We start from the raw sequence: 23,461 nt of genomic DNA, 5'->3' as shown, positions 1-23,461 counted from the left end.
CCCGGTTCAAGCGATTCTACTGCCTAGGCTTCCCAAGTAGCTGGGATTACAGGGACCCACCACCACGCCCAGCAATTTTTTTTTTTTTTTTTTTTTTTTTTTGGTAGAGATGGGGTTTCACCATGTTGGCCAGGCTGGTCTTGAACTCTTGACCTCAAGCAGTCTGCCCGCCTTGGTCTCCCAAAGTGTTGGGATTACAGGTGTGAGCCACCGCACCCAGCCCACCACAAATAATTTTTCAGGTAATGAGTAGTACACAAATAACCAAACAAATGGAAATAATATGAATAAGAACCAGCAGAAACAACAAAAACACCCACATAGGCTTCACATGATGAAACTGTCAATCACAGATTATAATACAAAATTTATTTTAAACTGTTTAAAAATTTTAAAAGCTTGGAATTATCAGCAAGGAAGCCAAAACTAAAAAAAAAAAAAAAAAAAAAAATCAAAATGGCCTAGTAGGTAGGAAAGGGAAAAAAAACCCACTGACATAACTTTTACAAATGAAAAATGCAAGGCTGGGCACAGTGGCTCATGCCTGTAATCTCAGCACTTCGGGAGGCCGAGGCGGTGGATTGTGACATCAGGAATTTGAGACCAGCCTGGCCAATACAGTGAAACCCTGTCTCTACTAAAAATACAAAAATCAGCCGGGCGTGGTGGCGTGTGGCTGTAGTCCCAGCTACTCGGGAGGCTGAGGCAGAAGAATTGCTTGAGCCCGGGAGCCAGAGGTTGCACTGAACTGAGGTCGTGCCACTGCACTCCAGCCTGAGCGACAGAGCGAGACTCTGTCTAGAAAAAAAAAAAAAAAAGATAAAAGGGTTTGCTGGCTGCGGGAACTTGCCAGGCACCAGCAGCCTCATCTGTACAACAGGGCTAACAGTTCTTACCCCAGATTCAAGCCAAAAATCTGCATAAAGCAGATTAAAGTTAAAATTCTATGGATACTTTTTCTTAACAAATTTCATCTGGCACAAGTGTATTTTTTTTTTTGGTAGTGGTGGGGGTGTATTTGGGGTATTTTTATTTTTATTTTTTTGAGACAGGGTCTCATTCTGTCACCCAGGCCGGAGTGCAGTGACACAATCATAGCTGACTGTAACCTCAAACTCCTGGGCTCGGGAGATCCTCCTGCCTCAGCCTCCCAAGTAGCTGGGACCACAGGCACCATACTAGCTAATTTTAATTTTTTTTGTAGAGACAGGGTCTTTGTTGCCCAGGCTGGTCGGGAACTTCTGGGCTCAAACAGTCCTCCTGCCTCAACCTTCCAAAGGACTGGGATTACAGGGGTGAGTGACCGCACCCAGCCACAGGTACTTTTTGGAAGGGAGATAGGACATGGGGGTTGCGAGCACAGCTGTGAGTGAAAATTTGCACACCATACACAACTCGTTTGCAATTCTCAGTCTCAGCCACCTCACCTGCAAAATGAGAACTGAAATTGTACCTATTTCAGGATTTGTAGTCAGGGAGACTACATAGTTTTGTATATGTAAAAAAAAAAAGTTCTCATGGGCTGGGCACGGTGGCTCACGCCTGTAATCTCAGCACTTTGGGAGGCCAAGGCGGGTGGACACCTGAGGTCAGGAGTTCAAGACCAGCCTGGCCAACATGGCAAAACTCATCTCTACTAAATATGCAAAAATTGGCCAGGCATGGTGGCTCGATGCCTGTAATCTCAGCACTGTGGGAGGCCGAGGCAGGTGGATCACCTGAGGTTAGGAGTTCAAGACCAACCTGATCAACATGGTCCCATCTCTACTAAAAAGTACAAAAATTAGCAGGGCATGGTGGCAGGTGCCTGTATTCCCAGCTACTTGGGAGATTGAGGCAGGAGAATCGCTTGAACCCAGGAGGTGGAGTTTGTAGTGAGCTGAGATCTCGCCATTGTACTCCAGCCTGGGCGACAGAGTAAGACTCTCTCCCCCAAACCAAGAAAATACAAAAATTAGCTGGGCATGGTAGCACATGCCTGTAATCAGCTACTCCAGAGGCTGATGAAGAAGAATCGCTTGAACCCAGGAGGTGGAGGTTGCAGTGAGCCGAGATTGTGCCACTGCAACTCCAGCCTGGGTGACAAGAGCGAAACTCCATCTTAAAAAAAAAAAAAAGTTCTCATGATGCCTGGCACATAGTAGATGCTCAATAAATGTCAGCGAATGTGGAAGAACCTAAATTGAGGACCTATGTTTATCCTCTCATTTGATACCCCGAGTTTCAGCCCTGGAGCTGATTTGGAGGGCAGATGCTCACCTACACAGCGTAGGACTGCTTCCAGGTGCCATCTGTCTCAGGTTTTTCTTTTGAGTCGGTTTGCTGAGCAGCTGTGTATGCACCAAAGTGTCTCCTTAAGGACAGCGTGGGCCAGGCACGGTGGCTCACGCCTGTAATCCCAGCATTTTGGGAGGCCGAGACAGGCGGATCACGAGGTCAGGAGATCGAGACCATCTTGGCTAACACGGTGAAACCCTGTCTCTACTAAAAATACAAACATTAGCCAGGCGTGGTGGCACGCACCTGTAGTCCTAGCTATTTGGGAGACTGAGGCGGGAGAATCGCTCGTACCCGGGAGGCGGAGGTTGCAGTGAGCCAGCATTGCAGCACTGCGCTCCAGCCTGGGTGACAGAGCGAGACTCCGCCTCAAAAAGAAAAACCTCCTGGGCTCAAGTGATCCTCCCACTTCAACCTCTCAAAGTGCTGAGATTGCAGCCATGAGCCACTGCACCCAGTCTGCATTTTTTAATGAGCACCCCAGCTGAGTCTGAAAATTAGGTAGGGTTGGGAAATACTTGCTCATTGGAGTTTGCAGTTACACTGCCATCTCACAGTGCTGTACCAACAGCTGAAGGGGAAAGACAGTGTGCCCTAACTACTCTGCGGTAAATCTAGATCTGTCTTACCCATTCCTCTCATAGATGCTCTCAGACTTTCAAAACCCCATGTTTTCCAAAGTACCTTCTGAGGTATCCTAGTTCTTTTTGTTGTTGTTGTATTTTGTTTGTTTGTTGAGACAGCCTCGCTCTATTGCCCAGGCTGGAGTGCAGTGGCGTGATTTTGGCTCACTGTAGCCTCTGCCACCAGGTTCCAACAATTCTCCTGTTTCAGCCTCCCAAGTAGCTGGGATTACAGGCTCATGCCACCACACCTGGCTAATTTTTGTATTTTTAGTAGAGATGGGGTTTCATCATGTTGTCCAGGCTGCTCTCGAACTCCTGAGCTCAGCTGAACTGCTGGCCTCGGCCTCCCAAAGTGCTGGGATTTCAGGTGTGACCCACCATGCCCGGCCGAAGTATCCTAGTTCTATGAAGTGCTTCCCAATAAAAAGTGTTCCATAGTGAAATACTTTGGGAGCCTCTGGGTTCTGTCTTAAAAATTCACATGATGCAGTGAGGAAACTCATTTTATGTTGTCTCACCCTCTTCTTGGATTTCAGATCCCCCTTGTCATGCAATGTCTATTTACACGAGTTCTACAGAATGGCCTTTTTTGTTGTTGTTGGTGGTGGTGGTGTTTGTTTTGAGACAGGGTGTCACTGTGTTGCCCAGGCTGGTCTTGAACTCTTGGGTTCATGGGATTCTCTCACCTCAGCCTCCTGAATAGCTGAGACTACAGGGTGTGCACCACCACACCTGGCTTATGCAGGTGGTGTTTTGCAGAAACATTGGTTACGCTTTTTTTTTTCTTTCTTTTTTCTGGAGAATGGGGTCATGCTCTGTTGCCCAGGCTGGTCTCAAACTCCTGAGCTCAAGCTATCCCTCTGCCTCTGACTCCCAAAGAGCTGGGATTACAGGTGTGAACCACCATGCCCAGCCAGAAACAATGGCTTATTACCCACTGGGTCTGGAAGAATCTGGACTTCCAAAATATGAGCTTCTGTCTCCTCTGTGCCTGGTTATGAGGACATCCTCTGTGTGCCCCGTGTGGGAGTTAGGTTAGGACTGGTGCAGTAGCAAGGCTGCTGTTCTGGAGAATGAACTGACACAACACAAACCACAGAGAATTCATCTAGCTGGGTGGCATCACTGGGCCAGACCAGTAATAGTCTTTTAGTCTTTTACTCTTTTTAAAAAATATTTATTTATTTATTTATTTATTGAGATGGAGTCTCGCTCTGTTGCCCAGGCTGGAGTGCAGTGGTGTGATCTTGGCTCACTGCAACCTCCGCCTCCTGCGTACAAGTGATTCTCCTGCCTCAGCCTCCCAAGCAGCTGAGATTACAGGCGCCCACCACCATGCCCAGCTAATTATTGTATTTTTAGTAGAGACAGGGTTTCGCCATGTTGACCAGGCTGGTCTCAAACTCCTGACCTCGGGTGATCCTTCCCCCTCAGCCTCTCAAAGTGTTGGGATTACAGGTGTGAGCCACCACACCCAGCAGTCTTTTACTTTTTCAGTTCGCTGACTTAAAGAACAGCATTTTGCCAGGTGCGGTGGCTCACACCTGTAATCCCAGCACTTTGGGAGGCCGAGGCTGGCGGATTACAAGGTCAGGAGATCGAGACCATCCTGGCTAACACGGTGAAACCCCGTCTCTACTAAAAATACAAAAAATTAGCCAGCGTGGTGGCGGGCACCTGTAGTCCCAGCTACTTGGGAGGCTGAGGCAGGAGAATGGCGTGAACCCAGGAGGCGGAGTTTGCAGTGAGCCGAGATCGCACCACTGCACTCCAGCCTGGGCAACACAGTGAGACTCCGTCTCAAAAAAAAAAAGAACAGTATTTGGTCCCTGCAAACCTTTGGACCAAGTGTTTACCTCTGGGGAGGGAGCAAGTTCTTATTCCTCTGGCTGTCATCCCACAGTGGTCTCTTCCCTGTCCTTGAAGGGTGGCAGCTTGAGACAATCAAAAGAAAGAAGGTCTTCCAATTGTAGCACAATTAGGAGACAAAGGTATGAAAAGGACAAACCAGCACACCCTAGGCAGATCCTGCCTGAGCTTCACTGGCCCCCGCTGGGACCTTCTCTCTCACAGTCCTCTCCACAGTCATTGGCCAAGCACGCTAGAGCCCCAGGTATTCAGCCAGGAACACAGCGAGAATGCGGCACAAGTTGTGTACCGTGGGTGGGTGGAGATTGACCTCGGTGTCCGCAGGGGTGTGCCAGACAGCAGGGAAGGGCGTGGAGATGAGATGGAGCACGGGTACCCCTGAAGTGACAGAGGAGACTTTGTCAGGTCCACTGCAGCCCACCACAACCCAGGAGCCCAAGCCCAACCTCTAGGTAACCTTGCCTTGCCACCACACACTGGTGAAAGATACTATGTTCTGGCACTTTTTTTTTTTTTTTGAGACAGAGTCTCACTCTGTCGCCCAGGCTGGAGTGCAGTGGCGTGATCTCGGCTCACTGCAGCCTCTGCCTCCCAGGTTCCAGCGATTCTACCGTCTTAGCCTCCCGGGTAGCTGGGATTATAGGCAGGCACCACGACACCTGTCTAATTTTTGTATTTTTAGTAGAGATGGGGTTTCATCATGTTGGCCAGGCTGGTCTCAAACTACTGACCTCAGGTGATCTGCCCGCCTCAGGCTCCCAACGTGCTAGGATTACAGGTGTGAGCCACCATGCCCAGCCTGGCACTTTTTTTTTTTTTGAGATATCATCACCCTCTGTTGTCCAGGCTAGAGTGCAGTGGCTCAATCAAGGCTTACTGCAGCCTTGACTTCCCAGGCCCAAGTGCTCCTCCCACTTCAGCCTCTCGAGTAGCTGGGACTATAGGTGTGAACCACCATGCCCGGCTAATTTTTTTGTATTTTTAGTAAAGACAAGATTTATGCCATGTTGCCCAGGCTGGTTTCAAACTCCTGGGCTCAAGGATCCCCCCCCGCCACCCCGCTCAGCCTCCCAAAGTGCTGGGATTACAGCTGTGAACCACCGTGCCCAGCTGCAAACATTTCTGGAATGCTTGCTATGTGCTGGGTGCTGGTCCAAGTAAGGTCTTTACCGGTGTTAGCATGTTCAATCCCCTCAACAATACTCTAAGATAGGGAGTATTATCCCCATTTTACAGATGAATAAATCAAAGCACAAAGAGGTTAAGGCCACTTAGCACCATTCCCCAGCCCTGGGAAGGGGACTTGGCCAGTTCCAATTTGTGGCTTCCTTGGACACCCACCCTCCATCCCTCCCTGCAGCTGGTACCTCTGCGGAGGAAGGGGATGTGGTCGTCTTCCACAGAGCCAAAGGGCTCCCCGGGTTGGAAGTACATCACTTCCTGGGGATGAGACTGCAGCAGGTTCAAACGGTGCAGACGCTTCTCTGGAAGTGGGGGCGATTAGAGAGGAAGGGTTAGTCCTTAGTAGTCGAAGGTCCCCAGTCCACAAATCAGAGGAAGGCAGAGCACCCAGAGACAAAGCCCTGGTCAGCCCAACAAGAGTGAATGCCAGTTACTCCTTCCTGTGGGCTCACTATGTTCCTGGTCTCATTCAATCCCTCAGAGTCTAAGACATAGACATTCTTTTTTTTGAGACAAGATCTTGTGGCCTGGTGTGGTGGCTCATGCCTGTAATCCCAGCACTTAGGGAGACCAAGGCAGGTGGATCACCTGAGGTCAGGAGTTCGAAACCAGCTTGGCCAACATGGTGAAACCCTGTCTCTACTAAAAATACAAAAATTAGCTGGGTGTGGTGGTGGGCGCCTGTAATCCCAGCTACTTGGGAGGCTGAGGCAGGAGAATTGCTTGAACCTGGGAGGTGGAGGTTGCAGTGAGCTGAGATTGCACCACTGCACTCCAGCCTGGGTGACAGAGTAAGATTCTGTCTCCAAAAAAAAAAAAAAAGATCTTGCTCTCTCACCCACACTGGAGTGCAGTGGGACAATCCCAGCTCAGTGCAGCCTTAATCTCGCTGGCCTAAGTGATCCTTCAGTCTCAGCCTCCCAAATAGCTAGGACTTCAGGCGCATGCCCCCATGCCTGGGTAATTGTGTGTGTGTGTGTGTGTGCGCGTGTGTGTAGAAATGGGATCTTCCTGTGTTGCCCGGGCTGGCCTCAAACTTCTGGGTTCATGTGATCTTCCTGCCTTGGTCACTCAAATTTCTGGGACTACAGGCATGAGCCACTATGTCTGGGCCCTCCGGCCTTTTTTTTTTTTTTTTTTTTGAGACAGAGTCTTGCTCTGTCGCCAGGCTGGAGTGCAGTAGCACAATCTCGGCTCACTGCAACCTCCGCCTCCCGGGTTCAAGCAATTCTCCTGCCTCAGCCTCCTGAGTAGCTGGGAGTACAGGCGCCCACCACCACACCCAGCTAATTTGTGTATTATTAGTAGAGATGGGGTTTCACCATATTGGCCAAGCTGGTCTCGAACTGCTGACCTTGTGATTCGCCCACCTCGGCCTCCCAAAGTGCTGGGATTACAGGCATGAGCCACCAGGCCCGGCCCCCACTGGCCGTTTTACAGATAGGAAACTGAGGCTCAAAGAAATGAAGCCACTTGTCCAAGTTCATCCAGCTGGTAAGATTGGAAACCACGGCTGTCTCACCTTAGAGCCCCTGTCTGGTAATCACTATTACTAATCTCTAGTTCCTTAGAAAGGCTAGGGAGGTAGAGGAAAGGCTGGGTGAGCCTTTATTTTATTTTCTTATTTATTTATTTGTTTATTTATTTATTTATTTAGTGACAGAGTCTCGCTCTGTCACCCAGGCTGGAGTGCAGTGGCACAATTTCAGCTCACTGCAACCTGTGCTCCCAGGTACAAGCGATTCTTCTGCCTGAGCCTCCGGAGTAGCTAGGACTACAGGCACACGCTACCACACCCAGCTAATTTTTGTATTTTTAGTAGAGATAGGGTTTTACCATATTCGCCAGGCTGGTCTCAAACTCCTGACCTTGTGATCCACCTACCTTAGTCTCCCAAAGTATTGGGATTACAGGCGTGAACCATTGCGCCCAGCCAAGCCTTTATTTTTAAAAACAATTTTTAATTTTTTTAATTTTAATTTTTATTATTACTTTTTTTTGAGACAGAGTCTCACTCTGTCCCCAGGCTGGAGTGCAGTGGTGTGATCACAGCTTACTGCAGCCTCGACCTCCCAGACTCAAGTGATCCTACCACTTCAGCCTCCCAAGTCACTGGGACTGCAGGCAGGTGCCACCATGCCTGGCTAATTTTTTTTTTTTTTTTTTTTGAGATGGAGTCTCGCTCTGTTGCCCAGGCTGGAGTGCAGTGGCGTGATCTCGGCTCACTGCAACCTCCGCCTCCCAGGTTCAAGCCATTCTCCTGCTTCAGCCTCCCGAATAGCTAGGATTACAGGCACATGTCACCACGCCCAGCTAACTTTTTGTATTTTTAGTAGAGATGGGGTTTCGCCCTGTTGGCCAGGCTGGTCTCAAACTCCTAACCTCAGGTGATCCACCCGCTTTGGCCTCCCAAAGTGCTGGGATTACAGGTGTGAGCCATCGCGCCTGGCCTAATGTTTGTTTTTATTTTGTAGAGACAGGGTTTCGCCATATTGCCCAAGCTGGTCTGAAACTCCTGAGCTCAAGTGATCCACCTGCCTCTCAAAGTGCTGGGATTACAGGTGTGAGCCACCAAGCCCAGCCTTTATTTTATTTTTATTTTTTATTTTTTTGAGACAGGATCTCATTCTGTTGCCCAGGCTGGAGTGCAGTGGCGCAATCTTGGCTCACTATAGCCTTGACCTCCCAGGCTCTAAGGATACTCCCCAGTAGCTGGGATGACAGGTGCATGCCACTGCACCCAGCTAATTTTTTTTTAAGAGATGGGGTCACCAGGCACGGTGGCTCACGCCTGTAATCCCAGCACTTTGGGAGGCTGAGGTGGACGGATCACGAGGTCAGGAGTTCAAGACCAGCTTGGCCAACATAGTGAAACTCTGTCTCTACTAAAATACAAAAATTAGCTGGGCATGGTGGCATGCGCCTGTAGTCCCAGCTACTCGGGAGGCTGAGGCAGGAGAATGGCTTGAACCTGGGAGGTGGAGGTTGCAGTGAGCCAAGATCATGCCACTGCACTCCAGTCTCAGTGACAGAGCGAGACTCCATCTCAAAAAAAAAAAAAAAAAAAAGATGGGGTCTCCCTATGTGGCCCAGACTGGTGGATGAGCCTTTAGAGTGTAGGTGCCTGTCCTACCCCAGCCCACCGCCCTGTACCCCATACCCCAGGTGGGCTGGGGCCCACCTCCGCATTCACCCTTACCAATGCTCCTCAGCCGATGGAACCAGCGGACCGTGCGAGGGAAGTGGCTGTAGAAGGTGGGATTGGGGGCTCCCAGGAGATCAAGAAGCATAAAGAGCTCCTAAGGAGAAAGGCTAGGACTGGAGGGGCCCGTGCAGGATGACGCCAGCCCTGCTTAACCTGCTCCCTCCCTCGCCAGAAGCCAGGGGACCCTGGTCTTACAATAGCCTGGATCCTGGTGGGGCCGGGGCTGTGAGGTATAGACTCCATGAGCTGGGCCAGGTGCCGGGAACCGTAAAGGGAGTCCTTGGGTCCCCACTCCTTCAGCGCCTCTTCACCATCCAAGAAGAGCAGTTGCAGGGTCACCGGGGCTGCCTGTGGGAGCAGCAGGGGGGTGGCCAGAGCCAGCTCAGGACTAGCCCTCAGCCTCAACATACCCACACTTCTTGCCCGCTTGCATGCTTAAGAGAACACATAAGGTGTCCTCACTCATAGAACGTGGTAGCCAAGAGCACAGATTCCGAGTCAGTTGTCTGGGATCAAATCCGTACTTGGCTGCTTCATAACAAAGCAGGCATGGGGAAGTTACTAACTTCTGGAAGGATCAGTTTCTTCATCTATAAATGGGGTTAATAAGAGGTTTTTTGTTTTTTTTTTGTTTTTTGTTTTTTTTAGAATAAATCTTGCTCTGTCACCCAGGCTGGAGTGGAATGATGCAATCTTGACTCACTGCAACCTCCACCCCCTACCTCCCAGGTTCAAGAGATTCTCCTGCCTCAGCCTCCCATACAGCTGTGACCACAGGTTCCCGCTATCATGCCTGGCTAATTTTTGTATTTTTAGTAGAGACAAGCTTTCACCATGTTGGCCAGGCTGGTCTCGAACTCCTGACCTCAAATGATCCACCTACCTCAGCCTCCCAAAGTGCTGGGATTACAGATGTGAGCCACCGCGCCCGGCAATAACAGTTCTTTTCAAAGGGTAAGGTTTGAATCCAGGTCTTAGAACAGTGCCTGGCATATAACTAAATAAGGGTTATCTCTGATTATTATTCCTCAAGCTCAGTTTGGTGAACCAGATAGATCCACAAATGAATAATTATACAAACAGTGAAATGCAGTTGAGACAAATGCTTCTAAGAACTATAGAGTCCTGAGAGGGCATAGGAAGGAGGCTGGGGGATGACCTGGCCTGGAGAGGGCGTTGGGTCTTTTGGGAAGGGATGTTTGCCATGAGAATGGGTAGGAACTGGCCTGGCAAAATGGAGCAGGAGGAAGAGTATTCCCAGCCAAGGGAGCAACACAGGGCAAGGCTATGGCCAGGGAAGGGGTCCCAGAGGTTTGAGAGGGGTACGGAAGGTTTAGCAAGGGCCAAGGAGTGTGGGCTTTGTTATAGGGACACTGGGGAGGCACAGAGAGGGGTTAAGCAGGGCAGGAGCATGATTAAATCTGTGTTTTTCTTTTCTTTTCTTTTTTTTCTTTCTTTTTTTTTTTTTTGAGACGGAGTCTCGCTGTATCGCCCAGGCTGGCGTACAGTGGCGCGATCTCGGCTCACTGCAAACTCTGCCTCCCGAGTTCACGCCATTCTCCTGCCTCAGCCTCCCAAGTAGCTGGGACTACAGGCGCCCGCCACCACGCCCAGCTAACTTTTTGTATTTTTAGTAGAGACGGGGTTTCACTGTGTTAGCCAGGATGGTCTCAATCTCCTGACCTCACGATCCACCTGCCTTGGCCTCCCAAAGTGCTGGGATTACAGGTGTGAGCCACCGCACCTGGCCTGTGTTTTTCTTTTCTGTTTGTTTTGAGACAGAATCTCGCTCTGTCATCCAGGCTGGAGTGCAGTGGTGCGATCTCGGCTCACTGCAACCTCCGCCTCTCAGTTTCAAGTGATCCTCCTGTCTCAACCTCCCAAGTAGTAGGATTACAGGTATGTACCACCATACCCAGCTAATTTTTGTATTTTTAGTAGAGATGAGGTTTCCCTGTTGGACAAGCTGGGCTCGAACTTCTGACCTCAAATGATCTGCCTGCCTCGGCCTCCCAAAGTGCTGGGATTACAGGTGCGAGTTACCACGCCCGGCCGGGAAGGCCTCTTTGAAGGGGTGACATTGGAGTGGACACCTGAGTGAAGAGTGGGAGCCAGCCAGGAAGATATCTATGAAAAGCATATTCTTTTTTTTTTTTTTAAGAGACAAGGTCTCTGTCACCCAGGCTAGAATACAGTGGCACGATCATGGCTCACTGCAGTCTCAAACTCCTAGACTCAAGCCATCCTCCCCTCTCAGCCTCCCAAGTAGCATGCCACTACTCCCAGATAATTTTTTTTTTTTTTTGAGATGGAGTCTCGCTCTGTTGCCCAGGCTGGAGTGCAGTGGTGCAACTTTGGCTCACTGCAACCTCCGCCTCCCGGGTTCAAGCAATTCTCTGCTTCAGCCTCCCGAGTAGCTGGGGTTACAGGTGTGCACCACCAAGCCTGGCTAATTTTTGTGTTTTTGGTAGAGATGGGGTTTCATCATGTTGGCCAGGCTGGTCTTGAACTCCTGACCTTGTGATCCACCCACCTCAACCTCCCAAAGTGCTGGGATTCCAAGTGTGAGCCACGGAGCCTGGCCAGAAAAGCACATTCTATCCAAAGCAAACAGCAAGTGCAGATGCCCTGAGGTGGGAGCAAGCTCTGCGGGTTTGAGGAACCCAGAGGAGGTGGGGGTGGCTACAGCAGAGTGAGCAAGAGGTGAGGGGTGGGAGATGAGGCTGGAGAGGTAACAGGGCACAGCTCGTGGGCCAATATAAGGACTCTGGATTATGGCTGGAATGAGGCGGGAGCCCTGGGAGGGTTTGGGGGAGAGGAAAGAGAATCTGACATCTAGAAGGTAAAAAGATCCCTGTGATGACCAGGCGCGGTGGCTCACGCCTGTAATCCCAGCACTTTGAGAGGCCGAGGTGGGCAGATCACCTGAGGTTGGGAGGAGAATTGCTTGAACCCAGTAGGCAGAGGTTGCGGGGAGCCAAGATCTCGCCATGTGCACTCCATCCTGGGGAACAAGAGCGAAACTCCGTCTCAAAAAAAAAAAAAAGATCCCTGTGGCTCTGTGCGTGGAGTAGAGTGGGAAGACGAGAGGGATGACAAATGTCCAGGCAAGGGAGGGTGGGGGCTTGGGAAAAGGTGGAGGTAGCCCACTACCCTCCCCGACTCCTGCTCCTCACCTGTTTTTTGGCCCTGCTCAGCTCCAGGTCAAGTGCTTGGGCCAGCTCCAGCAGCAGGGCACAGGGCACAGCCGAATCCGTGGCCCCTACAAAGGGGGTCGATCCGGGTGGGAAGAGCTTCGAGTCATAATGGCAGGCAAGGGTGAGGTGACGGGCAGCCCTTGGGTCCAGTGTGGCCACCACATTGCCAAAGTCCACTGGCCCCAGGGGTGTTGAGGCTGTGAAGGGATCCAGCTCCACGTGCCAACCTGCTGTCAGGGACCGCAGCGTGGCCTCCAGGAACTAGCGGCAAGAGAGAGGTGGGAGGGTGGACGGGGACTGGGGAGGAGGTGGGGAGAAGGGCCACGTGACCTGAGCCATGCAGAGCAGATGGGTTGACACTAAAGCCCCACTCTGATTGAATGGATTTCTTTCTTTCTTTCTTTTTTTTTTTGAGATGGAGTCTTGCTCTGTCACCCAGGCTGGAGTGCAGTGGCTTGATCTTGGCTCACTGCAACCTCTGCCTCCTGGCTTCAAGTGATTCTCCTGACTCAGCCTCCTGAGTAGCTGGGGTTACAGGCGCCCCCTACAACGCCTGGCTATTTTTTGTATTTTTAGTAGAGATGGGGTTTCACAATGTTGGCCAGCCTGGTATTCGAACTCCTGACCTCAAGTGATCTGCCTGCTTCAGCATCCCAAAGTGTTGGGATTACAGATGTGAGCCACTGTGCCCAGCCCCCTACTCTGATTAAAATCATTCCCTTGACAGTGCTGGTGAGTACCTACTGGGTGCCAGATGTTGGGGAGACCCCACCTCTTGAAGCCAGCAAGACTCATCACAGCTTACCCTTAAATAGCTCTCACTGTGTGCTAAGCCCTCTTCTAGGAACCATTTAGGGGAGGGACTGCCAATACATGACCCCATTTTACAGATGAGGAAATGGGCTCAGAGAGGTTAAGAAACTAGTCCAGGCCGGGCGCGGTGGCTCACGCCTGTAATCCCAGCACTTTGGGAGGCTGAGGTGGGCGGATCATAAGGTCAGGAGTTTGAGACCAGCCTGGCCAATATGGTGAAACCCCGTCTCACTAAAAATACAAAAAATTAGCCAGGCATGGTGGTGCACACCTGTAATCCCAGCTACTCAGGAGGCTGAAGCATGAGATTTGCTTGAACCTGGGAGGTGGAGGTTGCAGTGAGCCGAGATCGCGCCACTGCACTCCAACCCAGGCGACAGTGTGAGACTCCATCTCAAAATAAAATAAAATAAAATAAAATAAAAAAGAAACCAGTCCAAGGTCACAATCTAAGTGGATGAGGTAGCATTGGGACTCAGGCAGTATTTAAGTGACTTTTTTTTTTTGAGATGGAGTCTCGCTCTGTCACCCATGCTGGGGTGCAGTGGCGCAATCTCAGCTCACTGCAGTCTCCGCCTCCTGGGTTCAAGTGATTCTCGTGCCTCAGCCTCCCAAGTAGCTGGGACTACGGGTACCCACCACCACGCCTGGCTAATTTTGTATTTTTAGTAGAGATGAGGTTTCACCATGTTGGCCAGGCTGGTCTCAAACTCCTGATCTCGAGGGATCTGCCTGTCTCGGCCTCCCAAAGTGCTGGGATTAGAGGTGTGAACCACTGCGCCTGGCCTTTAAATGACTCTTCATGCTTTCTGGAAGACAACAGATACATTACAGCACCAGCTCGGAGCCAACCTGTTTGGGTTCAACTCTAGGTCTATGATTTTCTAAACATTGGGTCTCACTAGGTTGACTAGGCTAGTCTCAAACTTCTCAGGTGATTCTTCCACCTTGGCTTCCCAAAGTGCTGGGATTACAGGCATGAGCCACTGCACCCGGCTAAGGTCTACTACTTATTATCTGTAGGATTTGTGCAATGTGTATAACCTCTCTGAGCCTCAGTTTCCCCATCTGCATAATGAAGATCATATTGGTACCCACCTTATAGGGCTGTCTGTTGCCTATGCCTAGCACACAGTAAGCTTTTGGTGGGGGCATTAAGGGGGGCAGTACAGCCTGGTGGTTTGTTACCAGCATGGAGTCTAGAGTCCGATTAACTCCAGTCAGAGCCCCAGTTCCTCCTCTTAGCTTCTTTGGGATCTTGAACAGGATTCTTATTTCCCATTCCCTGGAGGGCTAGGGGGTCAGGGACTGGAGGTGGGTCCCTTTACCTTTCTGACTTGGAGATTTCCCGGGCTGCCCGGGGTTCGCACAACCAGCAGGGGGCGCAGATAAGTGCTCCAGAGACGCTGTGGATCCAGTTGTCCCACCACCCTCCGCAGCCGGGCTTCGGGGAGGCTTCCGATCAATGGGACCTTGGGAAGGAGGTGGGATAGGGAAGGGAAGAATGAGAGCAACCCCCCCATTTCAACCCTACCCCGGGCGCCGTCACCCGCGAGGAGCCCCGGGTTCTCTTCCTAATCTGCCGCCTCCAGCATCGGAGACTTCTAGGATAAATCCAAGGCTCAGGAAAAGTCCTTCCAAGACCATCCGGTCCAGCCTACCTCAAACTTGATGGGGAAATCGAGGCCCAGTGAGAGAGAGGGGAGATGGAGGAAGGGACTCTTCCAAATAGTTGACTAAAGGCGTAGAACCCTGAACCCCCCCGTCTTACTATTTCAGACCTTTCCTCTTAAAAGGAAGCTACTGTTGCAGAACCAGCCCGAAGCCTTATTCCTTTGGTAAGGGTCATGCGCTCAGATGACGAAGACGGTGGCATCTGCGGTTAGGGCCGTACGCTAAAGCCACGTCAACCCTGGGTAACAGCGGGGAGGGAATGAGGGTCCCCGCGGTGCCCGGGTCCCCGCCCAGCCTCACCCGCAGCTCCCGGCCCAGCGGCAGCTCCTCAGTCCTGCGGTGCCAGCCGCTCCAAATGGTGTAGAACGCCGAGCCCACGGCCAGCGCCAGCAACAGAGGCAAGAGCCGAACCCGCGGTAGCAGGCGGCGCTTCGGCGGCAAGAGTGGCTCCATGAGGCCACGTTCCCCCAGCCGCAGGCGGGGTCGCCCGCGGCCCCCGGAACGCATGGCCGCTTTGCCCTGAAACCTGTACCAGACCACGGATTGAGTTTAGGCCCAGCCAAGTTCCTCCCCATGGAATCGGTGGGCCAATAAGCAACAGCTGCGGCTGCACCAGCCCACCCCACAGCGAGCAGCGAAACCAATAAGAACTACGGTCCTGAGGACACGCCTCCCAGCCTCCCTTAGGTATTGGGGTTGGTTCCCCTGAGAATGGCACGACCCAAATGGGAGCGCAAGAGAAGTAGGCTCCGCCTTAGCGGAGGAGGGAAAGCCAATGAACAGCGTTTGATCATGGAAAATATTCGATCTCCCGGGCGCAGGTCCATGCCCCTTCCGGATGTAGGCAGGGGATTGGTGGCGCAGGGTCGGAAAGATCAGTAGATACGTCAGTAACGCGTCCCAGAGGGAAGAGGGGCGGTGCCTGTCTCCGAAGCGAGGAGCGGATTGGCTTCACGGAGGCCGCGCCCCCGAAGTCACGGCCGGCGGGCATTTGGAAATAGCTTGTCATTTCCCTCCTTCAACCTGTACCATTCTTCAAGAAACGGTTTGAATCAGACTGCCTTTCCTTTTGTCTTCATTGTCATAAACATCTGCCCCCGTGTGGTTCTGACTGGCCGCGAACCCCTACCCGAAGCTTTTATTCCATCATTGTGCACCGTTGGTGGGGAATGCTGTGGCAACAGGCCACGCCTCCACTTACTGGTTGGCTTTGCGCAGGCGCCAACGGAAGTGGGTCGCAGGAAGAGGAAGTCCCGCCTCTCTCTCCTCAGGCAGCAGCAACGCGGAGGAAACGGGAGTGAACGGAGAGCGTAGTGACCATCATGTGAGGCCGGGCTAGGCTTAGGCGGCGGGAATGAGGTTGAGGGTGGATATTTGACCGATTGAGTGTGGGAAGGGTTGAGCAGAGCGGGGGGGGCAGGGGCAGATGTTTTAGGGATGCAGCGTCCTGCTTTTCTCCTGATGAGTTTGAGAACGGGCGTGGGGCCTTTGACGCATCGTGACTTCGGGAGAGGGGACAGCTTTATCAGATAACGCCCTGGGCTGGGCGCGGGGGCTCATTCCTGTGATCCCAGCACTTTAGTAGGCCAAGGCGGAGCATCGCTGGAACACAGGAGTTCGAGACTAGCCTAGGCAACATAGCGAGACCCCCGTCTCTACAAAAAAAAAAAAAAATTTAATTATGAAAAACATGTTTTAAACGATAACGGGAGTGGTCCTAGATAATTAGTCCTATTGAAATGAATGTTAAGGGGCAGCGATTTTACGAATACTGGGGGAGGCCGAGCGCGGTGGCTCAGGTTTGTAAATCCCAGCACTTTGGGAGGCCGAGGCGGGCGGATCACCTGAGGTCAGGAGTTTGAGACCAGCCTGGCCATTGTGGTGAAACCCCGTCTCTAACAAAAATACAAAAATTAGCCGGCCGTAGTGGCGGGCGCCTGTAATTGCAGCTATTCGGGAGGCTGAGGCCGGAGGATCGCTTGAACCCGGGAGGCGGAGGTTGCAGTGAGCCGAGATTGCGCCACTGCACTTCCAGCCTGAGCGACAGAGTAAGACTCCATCTCAAAACGAAACAAAAGAAATAAAACGAATAATGGGGGAGGGAAGTTAGGACTTTTAGAAATAATTATTTGAAATAAGGGACTTATCTTGATCATTTGAGCTGGAGACGGGTGCGTTTTCGACTTGATTCACAACTTACACGGATAACGAACGAGTCATTGACATGATTTTGCGCATTTATTAGTGCAGCAGATATTACATTGAATGCTTATGTATCAGACACTGCTTAAGCTACATAGGATACATCAGTGAATGAAACCTCTAGTCCCCAAGGGAAAAGAAAAATCTTTTTCTCTTTTTCTTTTTTTTTTTTTTTTTGAGACGGAGCCTTGCTCTGTTGCTCAGGCTGTAGTGCAATGGTGCGATCTCAGCTCACTGCAACCTCCGCCGCCTGAGTTGAAGCGATTCTCCTGCCTCAGCCTCCCGAGTAGCTAGGATTACAGGCACCCACCACCATGCCCAGCTAACTTTCGTATTTTTAGTAGAGACCAGGTTTCACCATGTTGGCCAAGCTGGTCTCAAACTCCTGACCTCAAATGATCCACCCGCCTCGACCTTCCAAAGTGCTGGGATTACAGGTGTGAGCCACCGTGTCTGGTCGGGGTTTTACTTTCTACACTGAGATGGGGGGAGGATGGGAGGGTTTTCTTTTGTTTTGTTTGTTTGAGATGGAGTCTCGCTCTGTCACCCAGATTGGAGTGTAGTAGCACGAGCTCTGTCTCCTGGGTTCAAGCGATCTTCCTGCCTCAGCCTTCAAAGTAGCTAGGATTACAAGCATGCGCCACCATGCCCAGCTAATTTTTTTTTTTTTTTTTTTTTTGAGACGGAGTCTCGCTGTCGCCCAGGCTGGCGTGCAGTGGCGCAATCTCGGCTCACTGCAGCCTCCGCCCCCTGGGGTTCACGCCATTCTCCTGCCTCAGCCTCCCGAGTAGCTGGGACTACAGGCGCCCGCCACCTCGCCCGGCTAATTTTTTGTATTTTCAGTAGAGACGGGGTTTCACCGTGTTAGCCAGGATGGTCTCGATCTCCTGACCTCGTGATCCGCCCGCCTCGGCCTCCCAAAGTGCTGGGATTACAGGCGTGAGCCACCGCGCCCGGCCTAATTTTTTTTTTGAGATGGAGTCTCACTCTGTAGCCCAAGCTGGAGTGCAGTGGCGCAATCTTGGCTCACTGCAACCTTCGCTGCTGGGGCTCAAGCGTTTCTGCTGCCTCAGCCTCCCAAGTAGCTGGGACTAGAGGGATGCGCCACCACACCTGGTTAATTTGTTTGCATTTTTAGAAGAGACAGGGTTTCACCATCTTGCCCTGGGTGGTCTCGAACTCCTGAGCTCAGGCGATCCACCTCGCGTCGGCCTCCCAAAGTGCTGGGATTACAGGCGTGAGCCATCGCATCTGGCCTAATTTTTGTATTTTCTAATTTGTATTTATTTATTTTTTGAGACAAGAGTCTCGCTCTGTCACCCAGGCTGGAGTGCAGTGGCATGATCTCACTTCACTGCAACCTCCGACTCTCTGAGTTCAAGCAATTCTTCTACTTTAACCTCCCGAGTAGCTGAGATTACAGGCGTGCACCACCACGCCTGGCTAATTTTCTGTTGGTTGTTTTTTTTATTGTTGTTTTGTTTTGTTTTGTTTTGTATTTTTAGTAGAAATGGGGTTTCACCATGTTGGCCAGGCTGGTCTCGAACTCCTCACATCAAGTGATCAATCCACCTTGACCTCCTAAAGTGCTAGGATTACAGGCATGAGCCACTGTACCCATACCCTGGGAGGGTTTTGAAGAGTGACATGTTATGATTTAGGTTTTAGCACAACCCCCTCAGACCACTCTGTGGAGAACAGACTGTCAGGGAACGTGGGTGGAGGCAGAGAGACCAGAAAGATTCCAGGACAGAGATGACAGAGGCTTAGGCCATGGTAAGAAACGGCCATTTCCTACAGATTTCATGTAGGATGTGAGGGAAAAAGAGGAATCAAGTTGACAAAAGAGTTTTTGCCCAGAGAACTAGAAGGATGGAGTTACCATCAAAGCAGATGGGGAACGCTGTAGATAGGGTAGGCTTGGGTGGTTGGGTGATCTGGATCCCGACCTGAGACATGCAGAGTTGAAAATGTCTGGCTGGGCACGGTGGCTCACGCCTATAATCTCAGCACTTTGGGAGGTCGAGGCGGGTGGATCACAAGGTCAAGAAATCAAGACCATCCTGGCCAACATGGTGAAACCCCCTGTTTACTAAAATACAAAAATTAGCTGGGCGTGGAGGTGGTGCATGCCTGTAGTCCCAGCTCCTCAGGAGGCTGAGGCAGGAGAATCGCTTGAACCCAGGAGGCAGAGGTTGCAGTGAGCCGAGATCACATCACTGCGCTCCAGCCTGGGCAACAGATCAAGACTCCGTCTCAAAAAAAAAAAAAATGTCTGTTAGGCATCTAGCTGATGATACTCAGAAGGCTGAACAGGAGGACAGATGTGGTGGGACAAGGTTGGGGAGACACTGAAGCCAAGGCCCTGATCACCCATCCTCACAGCTCCAGCCTCTCAACTCCAGCCTCTCTCACTTATTGGTTCCATGTTTGTCCATGCAGGAGCCTCCTCAACAAGCCCAAGAGTGAGATGACCCCAGAGGAGCTGCAGAAGCGAGAGGAGGAGGAATTTAACACCGGTCCACTCTCTGTGCTCACACAGTCAGTCAAGAACAATACCCAAGTGCTCATCAACTGCCGCAACAATAAGAAACTCCTGGGCCGCGTGAAGGCCTTCGATAGGTGAGTGCTGGGTCCTGGGAGGTGTTCTCCGCAGGCCTGGAGAGGCCACTCCAGCTCCAGTCTGAAGAGCTCAAAGACAGCTGTCTCAGAAGCCTGGGGTGTATGGCCAGGCGTGGTGGCTCATGCCTGTAATCCCAGCACTTTGGGAAGGCAAGGCGGGTAGATCACCTGAGGTCAGGAGTTCAAGACCAGCTTAGCTAAAATGGCGAAACCCCATCTCTACTAAAAATATAAAAGCCAGGCGTGGTGGTGCACGCCTGTATTCACAGCTACTCAGGTGGCCGAGGCACAAGAATAGCCTGAACCCAGGAGGCGGAGGTTGTGGTGAGCTGAAATCGCACCACTGCATTGCAGCCTGGGCAACAGAGTGAGATTCTGTCTCAAAAAAGAAAATGATAATTTTCAATGGCCCTGTGAGGAAGGTAACGTGATTATCTTCCCTCTTAAAAAGGAGCAAACTGGCACAGAGAGGTGCAGTCCTTTGCCTCAGCCTCAACCTAAGGACTGGCAGAGTTGCTTTGGCAGCTTGGTCATCCCGGCCTAGCACCTGCACCCTTCCCCAAGCCATGCTGCTGGAGGGGGCGAGCAGCAGGCAGTAGGGGGCACTGTCAGAGGCACGCCCCTCACGCCCAGTGCCTCCCCTCCCTGTTCCCCACCAGGCACTGCAACATGGTGCTGGAGAACGTGAAGGAGATGTGGACTGAGGTACCCAAGAGTGGCAAGGGCAAGAAGAAGTCCAAGCCAGTCAACAAAGACCGCTACATCTCCAAGATGTTCCTGCGCGGGGACTCAGTCATCGTGGTCCTGCGGAACCCGCTCATCGCCGGCAAGTAGGGGCCGCCTGTCTGTTGACAGAACTCACTCCTCTGTCCTATGAAGACCGCTGCCATTGGTGTTGAGAATAATAAAGCTCTGTGTTTTTTTCTAGTGGTATCTGTTTCCAGAGCCTTGGGAGTGGGGTGGATTCAGGAGGGCTTGGGGGAGGCAGCTGGTATCGGACTGAATGGTGGGAGCAGGACCCCTGAGCAAGTGGAGAGGCCCTGGCTCTGCCCCATCGAGGCCTCACTTTCTCCATCTGCAAAGCAAACAGTTTGCATGGAAATGAGCGCCCAGTTGTGGCTCTGGAGAACATTTTAGCTCTCCTGCTTTAATCTTCCTGAGCTTCTCCTTGTCACTCTGTTGCTCTCTTCTCTACCTCTTATAATGAATTGGCCTCGCTTGACCAAAGTATCTTTTGGGGCCAGGCATGGTGGCTCACACCTGTAATCCCAGTACTTTGGGAGGTGGAGGCGGGCAGATCACCTGAGGTCAGGAATTCGAGACCAGCCTGGCCAACATGGTAAAACGCTGTCTCTACTAAAAATACAAAAACTGGCCGGGCGTGGTGTCTCACACCTGTAATCCCAACACTTTGGGAGGCCAAGGCGGGTGGATCACCTGAGGTCAGGAGTTTGAGATCAGCCTGGCCAACATGGTGAAACCCCGTCTCTACTAAAAATACAAAAATTAACAGGGCATGGTGGCAGGCACCTGTAATCCCAGCTACTCAGGAGGCTGGGGCAGGAGAATTGCTTGAACCCCGGAGATGGAGGTTGCAGTGAGCTGAGATGGCCCCACTGTACTGTAGCCTGGGTGACAGAGTGAGACTCCATCTCAAAAATTATATATGTGTATCTTTCAGCCTTTCTTTATGTTTGTTCCTTCAGCAAACATCCCCCAAATGCCCCCTGTGTGTCCAGCCCTGTGTTGCAGTGCAGGGGCACCAGGTACCCAGGAGCCTCTGGTCTGCCCTGAAAGACAGGAGGATTAGACAGGTGATGAACGCAGTCAGTGCCACCAGCACAGCGGCTGAGGTGAGAGCATTGCTTAAGCCCAGAAGTTTAGGACTAGCCTGGGAGAATGGTTGTGAGTTTTATAGACAGTGTGATACTATCTCTAAACTAAATAGATAAGAAACAGAAAAAAGGGCCGGGTGCAGTGGCTCACACCTGTAATCCCAGCACTTTGGGAGGCCAGGCGGGTGGATCACCTGAGCTCAGGAGTTTGAGACCAGCCTGGCCAACGTGGTGAAACCCTGTCTCTACTAAAAATACAAAATTAGCCAGGCATGGTGGTGCACGCCTGCGGTCCCAGCTACCTGGGAGGCTGAAGCAGGAGAATAGCTTGAACCAAGAGACGGATGTTGCACTGAGCTGAGATCGCGCCACTGCACTCCAGCCTGGGCAACAGATTCTAAGACTACCTCTCAAAAAAAAGGAAAGAAAGGAAGAAAGAAAAGAAAAGAAAGCAGTCAGTAGCTAAATATTACTGCTAGTGATCCTGGCTAACACTTGCTGAGCTGTTTAGGTGCCAGGCCAGGCTCAGCGCTTTTCAAACATCCTCCCAACAGCTCTGGCGCGGGCCTGTTAATTTATTATCCCCCTTTTCCAGAAGAAGGAACTGAGACACAGAGAGGCAATGTCACTTTGCGGGGACAACCAGCCAGGAAGTGGTGGTGCTGTGATTTAAACTCACCTCCAGAGCCTGTGGCTTCACCCCTGAGCTCTGCTGCCCCTCAGATTCAACTGCATTACCCTTGAGAGGAATTCTCTGACAAATTTGGGGAGATAAATGGAGGTGGGAAAGGGAGGTGGTATATACTGGGGGGATTAAGGAAATTCCCTGTGTTGCTCTGACACACACATCGTGTGCTCCCCATATCTTTGTTTTTTGTTGTTTTTTTTTTTTTTTGAGACAGGGTGTCATTCTGTCTGCCAAGCTGGAGTGCAGCAGCACCATCATGGCTCACTGTAGCCTTGACTGCCCAGGCTCAATTGATCCTCCTGCCGGCTTTTTGTAGAGATGGGATTTCACTGTGTTACCCAGGCTGATCTTGAACTCCTGGGCTCAAGTGATCCTCCTGCCTCGGCCTCCCAAAATGCTGGAATTACAGGTGTGAGCCACTGTGTTGGGCCCTCCCCCCATATCTTTGTCTCTGCCTATGTCTCTGTCCTCTGGATATAGGCAAACACCTGAAAGTTGCAAGAGTTTGCAGGCCTGAGGTCAGTGCACACTCAGTGAGATGTGTGCCCTGCTCTGAGCTGTGAAAGGCACAGCCTGGGGCCGGGCGTGGTGCCTCACGCCCTGTAATCCCAACACTTTGGGAGGCCAAGACAGGCGGATCACGAGATCAAGAGATCAAGACCATCCTGGCTAACATGGTGAAACTGTGTCTCTACTAAAAATACAAACATTAGCTGGGTGTGGTGGTGCACGCCTGTAGTCACAGCTACTCGGAAGGCTGAGGCGGGAGAATCGCTTGAACCTGGGAGGTGAAGGTTGCAGTGAGCCGAGATCGCACCACTGCACTCCAGCCTGGCAACAGAGTGAGACTCCGTCTCAAAAAAAAAAAAAAGAAAAAGAAAACAAAAAAAAGAAAGGCACAGCCTGAGATACACTGTGAGCATTGTGGCAGAGCTGGGACCCTGCAGCAGAGAGAGGCCTGATACACAGAAGGCAATGGGTTATGGGGTTATAAAGGCGTGCATTTACTACATCTAATTGGAAACAACCATCTGTGGGGTGGATACTAGAGCTATTTTTTTTTTTTTTTTTTTTGAGAAGGAGTCTCACCCTGTTGCCCACAGGCTGGAGTGCAGTGGCACCATCTCTGCTCACTGCAACCTCCACCTCCCGGGTTCAAACAGTTCTTCCTCAGCCTCCCAAGTAGCTGGGATTACAGGCGCCCGCCACCACGCCCAGCTAATTTTTGTATTTTTAGTAGAGACAGGATTTCACCATGTTGGCCAGGCTAG

At 51.4% G+C, this 23,461-nt stretch overlaps 2 protein-coding genes across 10 annotated transcripts, besides 6 other annotated features; one reads left to right on the top strand and one right to left on the bottom strand.

The window, feature by feature from the left end:
• Positions 895 to 1,124: an enhancer, noted in NCBI's record as "active region_14814". NCBI's record gives its function as "activates an Ori minimal core promoter by ATAC-STARR-seq in GM12878 lymphoblastoid cells {active_cell/tissue: GM12878}" and the evidence as "EXISTENCE:reporter gene assay evidence [ECO:0000049][PMID:35858748]".
• On the bottom strand, positions 4,067 to 15,388 carry QPCTL (glutaminyl-peptide cyclotransferase like). Of its 5 annotated transcripts, NM_017659.4 has the most exons (7): positions 15,144 to 15,388; positions 14,498 to 14,641; positions 12,336 to 12,617; positions 9,355 to 9,507; positions 9,154 to 9,253; positions 6,140 to 6,256; positions 4,067 to 5,150 (listed from the first exon to the last, which is right to left on the bottom strand). In NM_017659.4, the coding sequence occupies exons 1-7, from the start codon at positions 15,348 to 15,350 to the stop codon at positions 5,005 to 5,007; spliced, it is 1,149 nt and encodes a 382-aa protein (NP_060129.2). In that variant the 5' UTR covers positions 15,351 to 15,388; the 3' UTR covers positions 4,067 to 5,004. The 5 variants fall into 5 exon arrangements, with proteins under 5 accessions (NP_060129.2, NP_001156849.1, XP_047294953.1 ...); NM_001163377.2 differs by lacking the exon at positions 12,336 to 12,617; XM_047438997.1 differs by lacking the exons at positions 4,067 to 5,150; positions 9,154 to 9,253 and having other exon boundaries at positions 6,146 to 6,256.
• Positions 14,681 to 15,231: an enhancer, noted in NCBI's record as "H3K27ac hESC enhancer chr19:46196081-46196631 (GRCh37/hg19 assembly coordinates)". NCBI's record gives its function as "activates a minimal SCP1, AML or CMV promoter by ChIP-STARR-seq in primed H9 embryonic stem cells {active_cell/tissue: H9 hESC(primed)}" and the evidence as "EXISTENCE:reporter gene assay evidence [ECO:0000049][PMID:30033119]".
• Positions 15,738 to 20,600, top strand: SNRPD2 (small nuclear ribonucleoprotein D2 polypeptide). 5 transcript variants are annotated; one of them, NM_004597.6, is made up of 4 exons: positions 15,738 to 15,888; positions 16,062 to 16,167; positions 19,488 to 19,667; positions 20,327 to 20,600. In NM_004597.6, coding segments are annotated over exons 2-4 (357 nt in total). In that variant the 5' UTR covers positions 15,738 to 15,888; positions 16,062 to 16,165; the 3' UTR covers positions 20,502 to 20,600. The 5 variants fall into 5 exon arrangements, with proteins under 5 accessions (NP_004588.1, NP_808210.2, NP_001356680.1 ...); NM_177542.3 differs by lacking the exon at positions 15,738 to 15,888 and adding an exon at positions 18,707 to 18,821; NM_001369751.1 differs by lacking the exon at positions 15,738 to 15,888 and adding an exon at positions 17,387 to 17,482 and having other exon boundaries at positions 16,101 to 16,167; positions 20,327 to 20,594.
• Positions 15,757 to 15,886: an enhancer, noted in NCBI's record as "active region_14813". NCBI's record gives its function as "activates an Ori minimal core promoter by ATAC-STARR-seq in GM12878 lymphoblastoid cells {active_cell/tissue: GM12878}" and the evidence as "EXISTENCE:reporter gene assay evidence [ECO:0000049][PMID:35858748]".
• Positions 15,757 to 16,565: a biological region, named in NCBI's record as "H3K27ac-H3K4me1 hESC enhancer GRCh37_chr19:46194747-46195467".
• Positions 15,845 to 16,565: an enhancer, noted in NCBI's record as "H3K27ac-H3K4me1 hESC enhancer chr19:46194747-46195467 (GRCh37/hg19 assembly coordinates)". NCBI's record gives its function as "activates a minimal SCP1, AML or CMV promoter by ChIP-STARR-seq in naive H9 embryonic stem cells {active_cell/tissue: H9 hESC(naive)}" and the evidence as "EXISTENCE:reporter gene assay evidence [ECO:0000049][PMID:30033119]".
• Positions 15,897 to 16,026: an enhancer, noted in NCBI's record as "active region_14812". NCBI's record gives its function as "activates an Ori minimal core promoter by ATAC-STARR-seq in GM12878 lymphoblastoid cells {active_cell/tissue: GM12878}" and the evidence as "EXISTENCE:reporter gene assay evidence [ECO:0000049][PMID:35858748]".
• Positions 20,601 to 23,461: the final 2,861 nt, after the last annotated feature.

This window comes from Homo sapiens, chromosome 19, assembly GCF_000001405.40.
Source record: "Homo sapiens chromosome 19, GRCh38.p14 Primary Assembly".
Taxonomy (NCBI): domain Eukaryota; kingdom Metazoa; phylum Chordata; class Mammalia; order Primates; family Hominidae; genus Homo; species Homo sapiens.
This window is presented reverse-complemented; position numbering and strand designations above follow the sequence as displayed.